The sequence below is a fragment of the Homo sapiens genome, chromosome 7 (assembly GCF_000001405.40).
Source record: "Homo sapiens chromosome 7, GRCh38.p14 Primary Assembly".
Classification (NCBI taxonomy): Eukaryota; Metazoa; Chordata; class Mammalia; order Primates; family Hominidae; genus Homo; species Homo sapiens.
The window spans coordinates 106,713,635-106,732,783 of NC_000007.14; the positions used below are offsets into that span (position 1 = coordinate 106,713,635).

Genomic DNA, 19,149 nt, shown 5'->3' on the forward strand with positions numbered 1-19,149 from the left:
AGATGACATAACTGTATATTTAGAAAACCCCATTGTCTCAGCCCCAAAACTCCTTAAACTGATAAGCAACTTCAGCAAAGTCTCAGGATACAAAATCAATGTGCAAAAATCACAAGCATTCCTATACACCAATAACAGACAAACAGAAAGCCAAATCATGAGTGAACTCCCATTCACAATTGCTACAAAGAGAATAAAATACCTGGGAATCCAACTTATAAGGGACGTGAAGGACCTCTTCAAGGAGAAATACAAACCACTGCTCAATGAAATAAAAGAGGACAGAAACAAATGGAAGAACATTCCATGCTCATGGACAGGAAGAATCAATATCGTGAGAATGGACATACTGCCCAAGGTAATTTATAGATTCAATGCCATCCCCATCAAGCTACCAATGACTTTCTTCACAGAATTGGAAAAAACTACTTTAAAGTTCATATGGAACCAAAAAAGAGCCCGCATTGCCAAGTCAATCCTAAGCAAAAAGAACAAAGCTGGACGCATCACACTACCTGGCTTCAAACTATACTACAAGGCTACAGTAACCAAAACAGCATGGTACTGGTACCAAAACAGAGATACAGACCAATGGAACAGAACAGAAGCCTCAGAAATAACACCATACATCTACAACCATCTGATCTTTGACAAACCTGAACAAAACGAGAAATGGGGAAAAGGTTCCCTATTTAATAAATGGTGCTGGGAAAACTGGCTAGCCGTATGTAGAAAGCTGAAAATGGATCCCTTCCTTACACCTCATACAAAAATTAATTCAAGATGGATTAAAGACTTAAATATTAGACCTAAAACCATAAAAACCCTAGAAGAAAACCTAGGCCATACCATTCAGGACTCAGGCATGGGCAAATACTTCATGACTAAAACACATAAAGCAATGGCAACAAAAGCCAAAATACACAAATTGGATCTAATTAAACTAAAGAGCTCCTGCACAGCAAAAGAAACTACCATAAGAGTGAACAGGCAACCTGCAGAATGGGAGAAAATTTTTACAATCTACCCATCTGACAAAGGGCTAATATCCAGAATCTACAAAGAACTTAAACAAATTTACAAGAAAAAAGCAAACAACCCCATCAAAAAGTGGGCAAAGGATATGAACAGACACTTTTCAAAAGAAGACATTTATGCAGCCAACAGACATATGAAAAAATGCTCATCATCACTAGTCATCAGAGAAATGCAAATCAAAACCACAATGAGATTCCATCTCACACTAGTTAGAATGGCGGTCATAAAAAATCAGTAAACAACTGGTGCTGGAGAGGATGTGGAGAAATAGGAATGCTTTTACACTGTCAGTGGGAGTGTAAACTAGTTCAATCATTGTGGAAGACAGTGTGGCGATTCCTCAAGGATCTAGAACTAGAAGTACCATTTGACCCAGTGATCCCATTACTTGGTATATGTCCAAAGGATTATAAATCATGCTACTATAAAGACACATGAACATGTATGTTTATTGAGGCACTACTCACAATAGCAAAGACTTGGAACCAACCCAAATGTCCATCAATGACACACTGGATTAAGAAAATGTGGCATGTATACACCATGGAATACTATGCAACCATAAAAAAGGATGAGTTCATGTCCTTTGTAGGGACATGGACGAAGCTGGAAACCATCATTCTGAGGAAATTATCACAAGGACAGAAAACCAAACACCACATGTTCTCACTCATCGGTGGGAATTGAACAATGCGAACACTTGGACACAGCATGGGGAACATCACACACCGGGGCTTGTCATAGGGTGGGGGTATAGGGGAGGGATAGCATTAGAAGAAAGACTTAATGTAAATGATGAGTTAATGGGTACAGCAAACCAATATGGCACATGTATACATATGTAACAAACCTCCTGCACGTTGTGTACATGTACTCTAGAACTTAATGTATAATTAAAAAAACAAAAAAACCAGCTCTTGCTTCTGAAAGATGCCACAGTCTATTGAGAAAAACAAATAAGAAAATAAGCAAGTGTGATAATGCCATAGTAAAATGCTAGGAGAACATGGATTTGGAGCCCACTGCTTCTAACAGGATCTGATGATTCTGAAATGATTTTAAATGTGTTTAGCTTTCATAGGTAACAGCTTTCCAAAGTATTTGAGCCAATATATTTTCTTACCTGCAATGTATGAGAGTTCTAACTATTCCACATCCTGGCCAACACTTGCTATTGTATGTCTTTGTAATTTTAGCCGTTCTGATAGATATGTCATGGTATCTCATTGTGGTTTTAATTTGCATTTCCCTGATGAGTAGATGTTGGTGAAGGCAATAGGTGGGAAAGGGTAGATGGAGGAAGAGGCATTATAGACAGAGAGACCAACATGTACAAGTAGACACAGAAACTAGAGAAAATATGTATCGTAGGTGCACAGGATAGCAAGAGACAAGGCAAGAGAGAACACAAGGAGGAGTATCAAAAGCCTTGCCCAACACACTGAGAAGGTTGAGCATCTCATAAAATCACTGGAAAGCTAGCCATAAAAATATTTTATAAGTAAGACATAAATGTAACCAGATCTATAGTTAAATGATCCCTCTAACAACAGTGTGGAAGACAAATTGGAGGAAGGAATACTGGAGGAAACGGCAAGGGAAGGAGGTAAGTAGGGCTTGAATAGAGGCAATGCCACCAAGGACATGCCAAGAGAGTGGTTTTTAAGGACATTTAGACAATAAAATCTACAGGTTTGGCTCAACACAGGAAATGAGGAGGATGAGGAGCACAAGATGGCACCCAGCATTCGGGCCTGGCAGACATGCTATACTTGAAATAGGGGTAGAATATCTAGAAACCAAGCAGTGTGTCCTGGAGGTCTGGTATTTGTTTACCTTACAAAACAGTTAAAAGGATTTTGTTTTCAAAGCTTAATTCATAGGACCACCAGAATTATATTTCCAAAGGGGCCCTGGGAGTTGAGAGAGGAGATAAACATAGTGTCTTGGTCTTTGAGAGCAGAAAAAAGGGTTCCTGGGGCAAATTCTGCACTGATGAAGAGGGCTGCCTTCACTATCTCTCCCAGAGAAGTGCTCCAAAGCTGGCAGAAGACCCTCAGTCAAAGGCAACACTGTACAGCAGAAGCAAAAGTACAAGATACCAACTTCTGTAGACTACATACAGGTCGTCAGCATGTGTGGGGTGGGTAAAGCCATGAAAACGAGTGAGCTTATGCTAGGATTGCTTAGACTGTGAGGAGAAAAGGGCCAAGATGATGGGAAGCATCAGTGTTTAACAGGTGGAAAGCCTGAAAAAGAATGTCCAGAAAGGCAAGAAGAGAGCCAGCAAAGAGCAATGTAATGGAAACCAAGGAGGAGAATTTTATGAAGGAAGTGATCAATATAGTCAAGTGCTGGAAAGAGAAGTTAAATAACATGAGGATTTTAAATAGTTAGAAAATCTTTAATGACTTTGCAGAAGCCACTTCACTAGGTTAATGGGATGTAAGCCTCATTATGGAGAGCTTTAGAGTAAATGAGCAATGATAAAGTGCAGAGAATGGTTTATATTATTTTGGGGGGTTAATAATGAAGTTGGAAAAATATAGGGTGATCTCTAAGAAGAATTACAAATTTAGGGGAAAGAACTTTCCTTTAATGTGGTAGAACCTGTAGCATGGTAAAAGGCTATGGAGAAGAAGCCAATGATAATAGGTTGAAAAAAATGGAAGAGAAAAGAAGCTAAGAAGTAACTGAAGCATTAGAAGGGAAATCTCCAGAGAAATCTAAGGATTGTCAACTATGCCAACTGTTTAAACAACTTCAAGAAACATAAGGACAGAGAACAGTCTACTGTATTTGGCAATTAGGGCATCAGTAAGAGTTGTTTTGAGAAGTTCACTTGAGTGTTGGGGACAGAAGCAGAGTACAAGGAGCTGAGAATCTAAGGGGATATGGGAAACTGAAGACAGAAAATTGAACACTACATTTTCAAAGCACTTGGCTGTGATTGGAAGAAGAAAAGTAAATTATTTAATCCTACCTATCATTTCTGCTAGGCCCATGGTCTCCTCTGAGTGGCCAGTATCCAGTGATCTTGCCCTGCTTATTGGACAGGAGTGGACACTAAGCCAAGGGAAGTTTACCTTATGGGCATAGCTGTCAATCAAAGGGGAGCACCCAAAGTAATGCACAATTTGCTTTTTCTTAGTGGATCCTCTTTCTGGGAGAAATTAAAAGTGTACTCACAGTTCAACGACAAATACACAGTGACACTACTGGAAGAGACTCATTTGTTTTTGGAGTTATGAAGCACTCTCCTTTTTCTTGGATTAATTTATCTCCATGGTAATTAACCAACAAAATTATGTTCAGAGATATAGTTTCTGTTAGATTGCCTTTCAGAGATTAGATCTTTCCTTTTCTACACTTCCCTTTATTTTGAGCCATGAATAGCAAAGCAAAGGACCATTAAGTATCCTATTAGCCAAATGCTTTAGTTTACACCATGATGATCTCAGAATACCTAAGTAATCAGTCAATACATTTTTTTAAAAGCCAAATAAGTTAATAATCTTAATGAAGTCTGACTTCATTAAGTCATTTTTGTAGTTCATTTTTGTAGTTTTTAGTGTAATTTAGAGACATAGCTCAAATCAACTTCCTCATTCTATAAGTAGAGGTACACATAATTATGCCCTTAAAGCTAATCAGGATTTTCAAAAGTCAAGCATACCATGGGCTGTGGCTTTTATTAGTCACAGCCTCCGGAAATGTTGATTCAGCTGAGTAGGAGGCAATGGGAGCATTCATTGTGACTTAGTTAATAGTCATGTGTGGGGGAAGGGTGCAGAACTGGGTAGAAGATGAAAGAAGATAAGCACATGTTTAAAAGAATTGCATTAAACAACTTTTTACTATGGTTAGAAAAGTAGCATTTGTTTTTTTCATGCTGTAATATGTTCAGCTTCATAATGAGTTGTGACATTTACAGCATTCTTTTAAAGATATCTGGGCAGAGCAAAGCCAGGGAGGAAATTACTGAGCATGACTACTGGCAACTGGTGATAAATACTTTCGCATTATTTAAAAATATTTAATGGCCACTGTCTTTATTGTGCAAGGTATACTACCATTTCATTATCATTTTTCAGATACGTGACTCAAGTTACCAAGTTGCCATGACTGCCTACTGGAGATGAAGGAAACAAAATCATCATTACTGAAAAATTCTTGAAGAAAAAAATGTTCATCAATTTGGAGATACCTGTCTTCCAGAATACTTGAGATTATTCTTTAAAAACAATTTTTACCACATATAAACAGAAGCCAAGGCTAACTCAAGATAAAAATTTAGGTCTTAAGGATCTTTCATGCCTGTAATCCCAGCACTTTGGGAGGCCAAGATGGGCATATTACTTGAGCTCAGGAGTTCAAGACCAGCCTGAGCAGCATGGCAAAATCCTGTCTCTACAACAAATATAAATATTAGCCAGGCATGGTGGCGAGTGCCTGTAATCCCAGCTACTCAGGAGGCTGAGGCAGGAGAATCACTTGAATCTGGGAGGCTGCGGTTGCAGCGAGCCGAGATTGCACCTCTGCACTACAGCCTGGGTGACAGAGTGAGACTGCATCTCAAAAAAGAAAAAAGATATACTTTGGGTGTGGATAGATGTAATATTTCTGAGAGAAAAGATCTTTTTTGCTCACTTTAAAAATTGTTCCTCCACCGCATCTCACCACTCCACAGCCTAAAATCACCTGATATTGATCCCTGTTCTATCCAGAGTATTAGTGATGTGTAGTATCTATTCAAAAAGTGCTCCAATACTGTCTTTGAGGTTTCCTCCCAGGCTACCGGCACCCATTCTGTAGCTTTTGCTGCTCTCAAATCTTGAGTTTACCAGAAATTGTCAATAAAAGTTTATTATACAAGAATCAGGACCATATTCCTTCCTCAAATGGCCCTTTAATGATTGTTGAATAAAATATCAAGGAGTTGCTGTGGTCTACTCATATCGTCCTAAAAACCAAGTTTGTACAAGTAGATAACAATCACTATGTTAGAACAACTTCTTGGCTGAAAGCAAGTACAAGACACCATTGATTATAAGACGCATCCCAATTTTAGACATGTTAACATGTGAAAACAAAAAACAGGCTTATCTTCAAGACATATTTTTAAACCTAGAAGAAGAGAAGGAAAAGGATGAGGAAAAGGAGAAGAACAAGAGAAAACTGTTCAAATAATCTAGATAAGAACTAAGGTACTAGTAGCAGAGAGAGAGAGAGAGAAGGGTTTGGACACAAGGCATATTTAGTAACTAGAATCACCAGGTCTTGGAACTGACGGGAAGTTGAGAAAGATGGCAACAAAGTATAGGAAAGCTATACAATTTCTAGGTCATATATCTGGATGGGAAGCAAATAAAAGATTAAGGGAAAATACTAGTTTAGTTTTGGATACACTATTTGACAACCAGATACAGATGTCCAGTAGGCAGTTGGATATATAAATCTGGAGCTTAGTAGAGTTGCCTAGTCTGCAGATATACAATTAGAAGACATTTATATGTGGTACTGGGTAATATTGCCCATCAATGGCCTATTGAATTTTTTTTAAGAAAAACATAAAAACCTCCAAACTAACCAGTACTGTATTGTCAGTATTCAGTTACAAGGAACAGAATCCACTGTAGCTGGTTTAAGAGGAAAGGGGTTTGTTACAGAATATTAAATGGCTTACTTTAAAAAGCTAATAAAAAAAGACTCCATTCTAAGGTTCTAGAAACAATTCCCAAAGCCACACTACAGAACTGGGTAGCTGAAGGAGCTGCTGCCTTAAAAATGATCAGGGATCTGTAAAATTAGCAAACTGCCATGTGAGAAATTACTAACACTACTTGCTTCCAAACCACATCACGTTCACTAAAATCTCCACCAGCAAAAATATGACCCTGTGCCTTGACTCTCTCCTCCTAGATTAACTGCAAATCTAAGTCTCATACAATGTATCTGTCTGATTGTCAGAAGGTAAATTATACCCAGAACTCTAGGACATTTGAAGAATGGCTTGCTTTGTTTTGCTTTGGCTTTGTGTGTTGAGCTTTCTGCCTTCCACATATTATAAGGAAGCTGAACTGAAACGTGTGGTGAGTGAGCCAGACCCTATCACCTACCATGAAGACCAAAAGCAGAACAATGGGGAACATGAACACTGAAAGTGTGAGAAGTTTGGCCATACCAAAGAAGGTATGGCCAGAGAGGTGAGCACCACAGTGAGTGTACAGCATGGAAGCCAGTGGAAAGGAAGCAGAAGAACAAAGCAGCACCAGAAGAAGCAAGGAGTGAAGAAAGGTCAATGTCAGAAGCTGCTAAGAAGTGAGCGTTTAAACAGCTGGATAATTTCTAAAGCAGGGGCCCATCCATGGCCTGTTAGGAAATGAGCCGCATAGCAGGAGGTGAGTGGCTGGCGATCGAGCAAAGTTTGATCTGTATTTACAGCAGCTCCCCATTGCTTGTATTACTGCCTAAGCTCACTTCCTTCAGATTTTAGGGGGCATTAGATGCTCATAGGAGCAAGGGCCCTAGTGTGAACTGTGCATTTGAGGGATCTGGGTTGTGTTCACCTTATGAGACTCTAACAAATGCCTGATGATCTGAGGTGGAACAGTTTCGTCCTAAAACTATTCCCCCCCAACCTCCCACCCCTTCCCATGGAAGAATTGTCTTCTGGGAAACCAGTCCCTGATGTCAAAAATGTTGGAGACTAAAGAGTATCTGATAGAGTTAGCAAAAACAAGGTCCTTTGGTGGCCTTGGCAAGAGCAATTTCAGTGAAGTGGTTATGAAGGATGCTTGCTTGAAATGGGTTAAAAAGTGACTGGGAAGGATAAACTGATTTCAAGTTTATCTTCCTCTTAAGTGTGAAGTAATCTGTTAGGGCCTGAGTTTTCCTCGTCTGTTAAAATGGATTTATGCGCACCTTGTATGTTTGTTTTATGTGCAACCTGATATGGCCAGGCATTCACCACTATGACGGAAATCAAAAGAATTAACCTCACTTTTGTACCTAGGATCTCCCCAAACACCTCCTGGTTGTTGGAATTTGGGAGAACCTAGTCATTCACTACCTCATTTCTTCCAGCTTCTTCCAAATTGAGAACAGACTCATGTGACCAATGGATATCAAAGTATCAGTTTTATTCATGGTAAAGCTGGAATGAAGAAAATAGTTTGGGCTTGAGGTCAAAATGCCTTTCCCTTGTATTGAATGTGCATTCCCAGCCAGGCAGAGGAGCTAGAGGGGACACTCTGCCCAGTCTATTTACCACACTGGAGATAAGATATGAGAAAGGTCCCAGTCGTTATCCATTTTTGAGGCAAGTAGCAGGAGAGCAAGAACCAAGAGTTAAGGCCATACATATACAGTGACCCCATCTGGCAGGAAAACAAGAGGAGGCACCAAGAAAGGAATGAAGAGAAAAATGGATACGTCCTTTATGATAATTCCTCAAGACTGTTAAAGCATTTCCAGAAACCATAGAGAGGAAGAGAGAGGTACTCCCAACCTAAGGGATGATCATGTCTCTCATGGCCCACAAACAAGATGTCTTTTACATCAAAATCCATGCATGGTGGAAGGGGAACATGACTAGGTCTTCATTTGCCACAAAAGTTCACAGGAGGAAGAATGGGGAAGTAGCCGACCCAACAGCCTTCACCATACCAAACACTTCAGACTAATAAGTAGATTCAGTTCTTCAAATAGGATACAGTTATAGTAGATATAGAGATATGGAGGTACCCAGATTCTCCTCCAAGGAAGGACTTGCTGCCAAGCAGCCATGAGTGCAAACAACAGTCTCCAGCTGACTTATTTTTCAGCATTTGCCTAAACTTCAGAGAGCTTTGAGATCCGACCTCACATATTCCCAAGCAGCCTGCATCTAGTGACTAATCGACACAGGGGTATACAATTCTGTCCATTTTGGTCAGATGTGAGACAACTCTGTTGTGAAATATTTGTTCTGGAGCTTCCATTCAGGTTTGCTGAGGCTTTTTTGGACCTGAATTCACCTTTACCCTCATCCTGCTTCTTTTCCCTTCCTTTTACAGATGCTAATCTCCAAAAAATATTTGACATCCTAAACTCTATCTCTGTATCAACTTCCAGACAATCCCATCTACAACAATATTGTAGTGCAAATAAAGAATAAATTCATGGTGAACATAGCTGTTTCCTTTTACCTCCCCAGAGAAGCCTTCTAGAGTAGCTTTTTTTTTTTTTTTTTTTTTTTGAGATGGTGTCTCGCTCTGTCACCCAGGCTGTGGTACAGTAGCACGATCTCAGCTCACTGCAACCTCTGCCTCCTGGGTTCAAGCGATTTTCCTGCCTCAGCCTCCCAAGGAGCTGGGACTATAGGTGTGTGCCACCACGCCTGGCTAATTTTTTGTATTTTTAGTAGAGACGGGGTTTCACCGTGTTAGCCAGGATGGTCTCAATTTCCTGACCTCGTGATCTGCCGGCCTTGGCCTCCCAAAGTGCTGGGATTAGAGGCGTGAGCCACTGTGCCCAGCCGGGACTAACTTTTATAAAGAGGCTGCCTCCTCTCTGCCTGCTAACCTGTACTCCAACCTCTCAGCCCCAGTTTGATTTCAGATATCCCAGTACCCAGTCTCCCCTTTAAGATTCTCTGTTTGATGACTCAACTCACCTCCTTCCGAAAAATCCATGTTCTCCTGTAGGAGGCTGTGCCACCCCTAGAGGCATCCCATGTTTGCTATTACACACAAAGCCTCACAACTAAGTAGTCAGATGCTTGTCAAGGCTCTCCTCTGTCAATTAACACTGGCCTCTGAAGGTGCAGAACAGAAGAGGTTGGGTTCAAACTGTGAGCAAGAGTGAACACAAGAGCTCTAAGCCCCGTTTGGAGTTTCCACTAGAGAGAACTGTGACATATCTAGTGCCTATGACAGAAATACTCCCTATCAAGATGAGCCAGACAAGGTCTAATCTTGTGCTGAGAAAACAATCATTCTCCTATCAGCATGGTGTTGCCCTTCTCCTTTCTGGAACAATGGACACATTTTCTGTCTTGTTTGAGCAAAACTATACCACAGAAAAAAATTGTGTCAGTCTTCATTGATTGATCTCTTTATCATTCAGATGAAATGGAGTCAGCTCTATGCATGTTCCAATTAAACTCTATGTGGGGGAAACTGTTGGGGGCCAGGAGAGCTTCTGAATTTCCCTGCTACTCTAAGATCAGAGTTAATGTAAACAAAGAACTTAGCACATTGCCTGAGACATAATAAGTGCACTTTAATTATTTTTTGCTTTGAAAGGTGAATAAGTTAAACTACCTCTATTTACAAATGACATAATCTAATACATAGAAAATGTTAAGAAATACACTAAAAACACAATTAGAACTAATAAACGAGTTCAGCAAAGTTGCAGAATAAAAGATCAATTTACATCAAAGGTGAGGGTGAAAAGGGACAAAAAGATCAATTTACAAAAATCAACTGTGTTTCAATAATAATGGGAGAGTTTAACACCCCACTGTCAACATTAGACAGATCAAAGAGACAGAAAGTTAAAAAGGATATCCAGGAATTGAACTCAGCTCTGCACCAACTGGACTTAATAGACATCTACAGAACTCTCCACCCCAAATCAACAGAATATACATTCTGCTCAACACCACGTCACACTTATTCCAAAATTGACCACATAGTTGGAAGTAAAGCACTCCTCAGCAAACGTAAAAGAACAGAAATTATAACAAACTGTCTCTCAGACCACGGTGAAGTCAAACTAGAACTCAGGATTAAGAAACTCACTCAAAACTGCTCAACTACATGGAAACTGAACAACCTGCTCCTGAATGACTACTAGGTACATAACGAAATGAAGGCAGAAATAAAGATGTTCTTTGAAACCAGCGAGAACAAAGACACAACACACCAGAATCTCTGGGACAAATTTAAAGCAGTGTGTAGAGGGAAATTTATAGCACTAAATGCCCACAAGAGAAAGCAGGAAAGATCTAAAATTAACACCCTAACATCACAATTAAAAGAACTAGAGAAACAAGAGCAAACACATTCAAGAGCTAGCAGAAGGCAAGAAATAACTAAGATCAGAGCAGAACTGAAGGAGATAGAGACACAAAAAACCCTTCAAAAAATCAATGAATCCAGGAGCTGGTTTTTTGAAAAGATCAACAAAATTGATAGACTGCTAGCAAGACTAACACAGAAGAAAAGAGAGAAGAATTCAATAGACACAATAAAAAAATGATAAAGGGGATATCATAACCGATCCCACAGAAAGACAAACTACCATCAGAGAATACTATAAACACCTCTACACAAATAAACTAGAAAATCTAGAAGAAATGGATATATTCCTCCAAACATACACCCTCCCAAGACTAAACCAGGAAGAAGTTGAATCTCTGAATAGACCAATAACAGGCTCTGAAATTGAGGCAATAATTAATAGCCTACCATCGAAAAAAAGTCCAGGACCAGACGGATTCATGGCCAAATTCTACCAGAGGTAAGAGGAGGAGCTGGTACCATTCCTTTTGAAACTATTCCAATCAATAGAAAAAGAGGGAATCCTCCCTAACTCATTTTATGAGGCCAGCATCATCCTGGTACCAAAGCCTGGCAGAGACACAACAAAAAAAAAGAATTTTAGAACAATATCCCTGATGAACATCGATGCAAAAATCCTCAATAAAATACTGGCAAACCGAATCCAGCAGCACATCAAAAAGCTTATCCACCATGATCAAGTGGGCTTCATCCCTGGGATGCAAGGCTAGTTCAACATACGCAAATCAATAAACATAATCCAGCATATAAACAGAACCAAAGACAAAAACCACATGATTATCTCAATAGATGCAGAAAAGGCCTTTGACAAAATTCAACAGCCCTTCATGCTAAAAACTCTCAATAAATTAGGTATTGGTGAGACGTATCTCAAAATAATAAGAGCTATTTATGACAAACCCACAGCCAATATCATACTGAATGGGCAAAAACTAGAAGCATTCCCTTTGAAAACTGGCACAAGACAGGGATGCCTTCTCTCACCACTCCTATTCAACATAGTGTTAGAAGTTCTGGCCAGGGCAATCAGGCAGGAGAAAGAAATAAAGGGTATTCAATTAGGAAAATAGGAAGTCAAATTGTCCCTGTTTGCAGATGACATGATTGTATATCTAGAAAACTCCATCATCTCAGCCCAAAATCTCCTTAGGCTGATAAGCAACTTCAGCAAAGTCTCAGGATACAAAATCAATGTGCAAAAGTCACAAGCATTCCTATACACCAATAACAGACAAACAGAGAGCCAAATCATGAGTGAACTCCCATTCACAATTGCTTCAAAGAGAATAAAATACCTAGGAATCCAATTTATAAGGGATGTGAAGGACCTCTTCAAGGAGAACTACAAACCACTACTCAACAAAATAAAAGAGGATAGAAACAAATGGAAGAACATTCCACACTCATGGACAGGAAGAATCAATATCATGAAAATGGCCATACTGCCCAAGGTAATTTACAGATTCAATGCCATCCCCATCAAGCTACCAATGACTTTCTTCACAGAATTGGAAAAAACTACTTTAAAGTTCATATGGAACCAAAAAAGAGCCCGCATTGCCAAGTCAATCCTAAACCAAAAGAACAAAGCTGGAGGCATCACGCTACCTGACTTCAAACTATACTACAAGGCTACAGTAATCAAAACAGCATGGTACTGGTACCAAAACAGAGATATAGACCAATGGAACAGAACAGAGCCCTCAGAAATAATACCACACATCTACAACCATCTGATCTTTGACAAACCTGAGAAAAACAAGAAATGGGGAAACGATTCCCTATTTAATAAATGGTGCTGGGAAAACTGGCTAGCCATACGTAGAAGGCTGATACTGGATCCATTCCTGACACCTTATACAAAAAGTAATTCAAGATGGATTAAAGGCTTAAATGTTAGACCTAAAACCATAAAAACCCTAGAAGAAAACCTAGGCAATACCATTCAGGACATAGGCATGGGCAAGGACTTCATGTCTAAAACACCAAAAGCAATGGCAACAAAAGCCAAAATTGACAAATGGGATCTAATTAAACTAAAGAGCTTCTGCACAGCAAAAGAAAATACCATCAGCGTGAACAAGCAACCTACAGAATGGGAGAAAATTTTTGCAATCTTTCCATCTGACAAAGGGCTAATATCCAGAATCTACAAAGAACTCAAACAAATTTACAAGAAAAAAACAAACAACCCCATCAAAAAGTGGGCAAAGGATATGAACAGACACTTATCAAAAGAAGACATTGAACACGCCTGTAATCCCAGCACTTTGGGAGGCCGAGGCGGGCAGATCACAAGGTCAGGAGATTGAGACCATCCTGGCTAATACAGTGAAACGCCGTCTCTACTAAAAATACAAAAAATTAGCCAGGCAAGGTGGCAGGCGCCTGTAGTCCCAGCTATTCGGAAGGCTGAGGTGGGAGAATGGCGTGAACCCCGGAGGGGCGGAGCCTGCAGTGAGCCAAGATTGCGCCACTGCACTCTAGCCTGGGAGACAGCGAGAATCCGCCACAAAAAAAAAAAAAAAAAAAAGAAAGACACTGATGCAGCCAACAGACATATGAACAAACCTGCATGTTGTGCACATGTACCCTAAAACTTAGAGTATAATAAAAAAAAATGCTCATCATCACTGGCCGTCAGAGAAATGCAAATCAAAACCACAATGAGATACCATCTCACACCAGTTAGAATGGTGATCTTTAAAAAGTCAGGAAACAACAGGTGCTGGAGAGGATGTGGAGAAATAGGAACACTTTTACACTGTTGGTGGGACTGTAAACTAGTTCAACCATTGTGGAAGACACTGTGGGAATTCCTCAAGGATCTAGAACTAGAAATACTGTTTGACTCAGCCATCCCATTACTGGGTAGATACCCAAACGATTATAAATCATGCTGCTATAAAGGCACATGCACACGTATGTTTATTGCAGCAGTATTCACAATGGCAAAGACTTGGAACCAACCCAAATGTCCATCCATGATAGACTGGATTAAGAAAATGTGGCATGTATATACCATGGAATACTATGCAGCCATAAAACATGATGAGTTCATGTCCTTTATAGGGACATGGATGAAGCTGGAAACCATCATTCTCAGCAAACTATTGCAAAGACAGAAAACCAAACACCGCATGTTCTCACTCACAGGTGGGAATTGAACAATGAGAACACCTGGACACAGCAAGGGGAACACCACACACCAGGCCTGTTGTTGGGTGGGGGGAGGGGGGAGGGATAGCATTAGGAGATATACCTAATGTAAATGATGAGTTAATGGGTGCAGCACACCAACATGGCACATGTATACATATGTAACAAACCTGCACATTGTGCATGTGTACCCTAGAACTTAAAGTATAATAAAAATATATTTAAAAAATCAATTGTGTTTCTATACATTTGCAATGAATACACTAAAAATGAAATTAAGAAAACAAAATCTGTTTACAATAGCATGAAAAAGAATAAAATACTTAGGAATGAATTTAACAAAAGAAGTACTAAACTTATACTCTGAAAAATACAAAACATTGCTGAAAGAAATTAAAGAACACCTAAATAAATGGAAAGTCACCTCATGTTCATGGATTGGAAAATTTAATATTGTTAAGATGGCAATACTCCCCAAACTGATCTACAAATTCAACACAATTCCCATCAAAATTCTGGACCAATAATCTGATCCTAAAATTTATATGAGAGCGCAAGAAACAGAAGAGCTAAAACAACCTTGAAAACAAACAACAAAGTTGGAGGATTCACGCTTCCCCATTTCAAAACTTACTACAAAATCTACAGTAATCAAGACAGTGTGGTATTGGCATAAGATAAGACATACAGATTAATAGAATGAAATTAAAAATCTATAAGTAAACTCACACTTACTGTCAATTGATTTCCAACAAGGGAAATTTTTTCCCATTGAATTGATTTCCAACAAGGGAAATCAATTCAATGGGAAAATAAAAGTCTTTCCATAAATGGTGCTGACACAATCTGAAAAAAAAGAAGTTAGATCCTACCTCACATCTGTATAAAAATCAACTCAAATAGGATCCAATAACTAAGTGTAAAAGCTAAAACTATAAACTTCTTAGAAAAACAGAGGTAAATCTTCATGACCTTGTAGTAGGCAATGATTTCTTAGCTACGACACCCAACATATAAGCAACAACAACAAAAAAGAATAGGTAAATTGGATATCATAGCATTTAAAAAAAAAACTTTCCTGCTTCAAAACACACAATTAAGAAATTAAAAAGGCAACCCATAGGATGGGAGAAAATTTCTGCAAATCATATATCTGATGAAGGACTTGTGTGTGGAATATATAAAGAACCCTTACAACTTAACAATAAAAAGACAAATAATTTTCAAAAAAGCAAAGAACCTGAATAGACATTTTTCCAAAAAAGATATATAAATGGCCAATATGCACATGAAAAAAATGATCAACTTCATTAGCCTCAGGGAAATGCAAATCAAACCTACAATGGGCTGCTATTTCATGCAGATTATGATGGTTCTAATCAAAAAGTTAGATAATAACAAGTTAGCAAAAATGCAAAGAAATTGGAACTCTCATGCACTCCTAATGGAAATGTAACATAGTACATCTTTTGGAAAACAGTCTGGCAATTTTTCAAATAATTAAATATAGTGCTACCATACAGCTCAGCAATTCCCCTCCTAGGTATATACCCAAGAGAAATAAAAACATATGTCCACATAAAACCTTGTGTGTGAATATTCATAGTAGCATTCTTAATAATAGGCAAAAGTTAGATATAACCCAAATGTCCATCAACTAATGAATGTATAAATAAAATGTGGCATAAGCATACACTTGAATATTATTCAACCACAAAAAGGAATGAAGAACTGATACATGACACAGTGTGGATGAACCTTGAAAACGTTATGTTAAGTGAAAAAAGACAGTCACAAAGGATTATATATTGTATTATTCCATTATATTTAATGTCCAGAATATGGAAATTCACAGAGAAAGAAAGTAGGTTTGTGGTTTCCTAGAGCTAGGAGCAATGGGGGAATGAGGACGGATGGCCAAGGGATTTCTCTTTGTGGTGATGAAAATGATTTAAAATTTATTGTGGTGATGGTTGCACAACTCTGTGAAAATACTAAAAACCAGTGAATTGTACGCATTAAATGGGGAAATTGTATGTTATCTGAATTATGTGTTAATAAAAACTTTTTTAAATTATTGATTTAAGACTGAGTAAAAGAAGTGGTTATGGATATCAGGTTATGGGTTTAAATAAGGTCATTGGCTGAAGTCAAAAAGTTGAGGAAATTCCCAACTAGAAACCTCAACTTCCTCACTGAAATAGAAGGCAAATCCATCTGCCAAGTAGGAGTTTATAATCAGATAATGGTACATCAGAGGTAAAGACTGCAGAGGTGGTACAGTTCCAGGTGATGACAGGTTCCAAGGTGTGTCATGAAAGTGAGTGGCTAAGCTGGAGAAGAGGGAGAGGGGGTGGAGGCCCAGGAAGTGACAAAGCTTAATACACCTCACAAGTACTTGTTGAATTGAATGAAAGAATTACTTCCCCTGCCAGCACTGTATGATACATTAAGGCCTCAGTGTTACTTTAATCATCTTGGAAATTGTCACCATGTTTGCCCTAAGTAAGTTTCTTTCTTTTTCTACTAAATTTAGGGATAGGCGTATGAGTTTCAATGGAGACCATACTCAAGTTACCTCTCACCTATGGATGAAAAAAGGAAAGAAAAAGAAATTGGGGTTTTCTAAGTGTACTATGATTACACTGAGAGTATAAAAACTACTTAGGAGAATAAGCTTCTAGAAATTTAGAATGAAAACAATGCATACGCAAAACAATAAATAAGATACTAAACACAATTAACTACTGATTCAAGAAATTCACCTAAGACCTACTTTCTTTGTAGCCCCAAGTTCAGTAGAGTCAGAGGGAGGATTTCTGGGAACCCCAAACGCCTTTTCCTTGCATTCCCCCTCTGATCCAGAAGATCTTCTCAGGTCCCAGCTAATCTTTCCATTGAGGCCACCATTCTCTCACCTGTAGGGTCCCTATACCCCCCTATGTCATAGAAAGGTTTAGAGCTGAGCATCATCCCCCCATTTTCATTGCCCCCATACCAGTCCCCTCTACTAACACAAACATACAATGATAATAAAGGTTCAGGGCAAAATATAGAAACCTATCTATTTGTATTAAGCACAAAGGAATTTAATAAAGGAAATTGGGTGTTTACATATGAACTAGAATGGCTGGAGGAGCAGGCTCAAGGTTGGGCCCCCAGGAATAACTCCTAGAACAATGCAGAACTGACTATCCAGGCAAGCTACTTGCTCTGCAGCAATCAGGATGGTGAGTAGCCAGCAGGCTGACACTGGAACTTTTGAGTTCATGAACCCACAAGGATAGCTGTGTCCCAGGATCAGAAAGTCAGGATCGAGAAGCTACTGCTGCCACACCACAACTGCCTATAACCATCTATGAAGCTAATGTCTGAACACTAGAACACCACTTCAGAAAAACGTGAGATCTTGGAGATGGTCCAAGATCTTGTTCACACACAGAAAAACAGACAATAGAAGGAAGGTGGCTTCTGTTTCACTTCTGCTTTCTACATGTAAAACAAAGCGTATTTAATAAATTCATCCAAAGGAGTCAGGGAAACGTGGTTTCCAGCATTCAAAAAAAGAGCTGGAAATGGCTGAGTGCCAATCAGCTATATCCAGCATACAAACACACTATAAATGCATACATGTGCATATGTGTACACACACGATCCCAGATGACAAGATTATTGGCCCTTTTTGTTATGTGAATTTTTGTAATAACCCCAACAGAAAATAGAAAATAATACAAATGAGAAACATGGAAAATTACAAAAGTCCCAAAATTTCACATAGGCTATAGAGTCTTGGCCTCTACAGTCACTGGTTACCGACTTCCTCTAAGGAATTAAGTGCATGTCCTATGGGCAGCCCTGTGGTTTTAATTATCTTGAGGTTCAGGCTCACCAGTGCTCTCTAGTACTCAATAATAAGGAGTCTGACTCCATTGTTGATGTTTAACAGCTGACAGCTGTCAAGCCCTGCCACGCCTCCTTCCTTTTGTGCCCCACATCCAAGCAAGCTGATAAAAAAAAAAATTTAAAAAAAGAAAAAAGAAAAAAAGCCTTGGTGCTCCTTTGGCACCGATGGGAAATTCAAACCATACAAACGTTGGCCAGCATGAGGAAACCAGCAACCCAGCCTCACTCCCTAACTATTATAAAACCCCAAGCAGGGAGGTTTCCCCTCCCTGCTCTTTCAAGGCATTTTCAGATCTGCTTGGGAGCCTGCCCTGTTCCCTCTAGAAAACCTCATTACATGTGCAATAAACCTTCCATCCCCTCTTTGTGTATGTGTGGCATCATGAGTCTTGACATCTAAACCAAATTTTGTGTGGGAGGTCCATCTCACCACCGAGGGATACCACAAGAGGTTCCACCCCACAACTCGCCACCAAAACACTCCCATATCATACATTTCTGACCCCATCCTTTCTCCCTCATGATCCTTTCTCCTACCTACTGATACCGTCCAGGCAGAAGGGTGTGTCTCTTTGTATTCAGTGGAGACTTGGCTTCTCTGCAGGACAAGATTGGGTGAAGCTCAATTTGCCAGAGCTCTGCTTTGCCCAGCGAAGTTTCTTTCAGAGCACTTCCTCCCAAAGACCGTGTTAACCTTTCTCCCTATTGTCAAATCTTGATTATCGCCTCATGCCCATGTGAAACTCCCTTAGTTGATAATTTCATCCACAATTGCTTGCTGCTGTCGTTGGTGTCTGTTCTCTCTGCTCTGCTCTGCTCTTTTGGAGCTTTGATGCCTGGCTTAGCACCTTTGCCCACCTAAAGACTCCTTTGACCCTGGAATATGAGTGATGATACTCTCAAAGACATTTAATTTCAATGATATTCACCTTGCAAACTACTAACACCACCATCCTGCCTCTCATCACTGTCATCACTT

General features: G+C 39.3%; 3 annotated features.

Annotated features, from left to right (window-relative positions):
- Positions 4,470-5,669: an enhancer, noted in NCBI's record as "P300/CBP strongly-dependent group 1 enhancer chr7:106358550-106359749 (GRCh37/hg19 assembly coordinates)". NCBI's record gives its function as "activates an origin of replication core promoter dependent on BRD2, BRD4, P300/CBP, MED14 and CDK7 cofactors, with strong dependence on P300/CBP, by STARR-seq in HCT116 cells {active_cell/tissue: HCT116}" and the evidence as "EXISTENCE:reporter gene assay evidence [ECO:0000049][PMID:35650434]".
- Positions 7,189-7,448: an enhancer, noted in NCBI's record as "active region_26488". NCBI's record gives its function as "activates an Ori minimal core promoter by ATAC-STARR-seq in GM12878 lymphoblastoid cells {active_cell/tissue: GM12878}" and the evidence as "EXISTENCE:reporter gene assay evidence [ECO:0000049][PMID:35858748]".
- Positions 17,806-17,855: an enhancer, noted in NCBI's record as "active region_26489". NCBI's record gives its function as "activates an Ori minimal core promoter by ATAC-STARR-seq in GM12878 lymphoblastoid cells {active_cell/tissue: GM12878}" and the evidence as "EXISTENCE:reporter gene assay evidence [ECO:0000049][PMID:35858748]".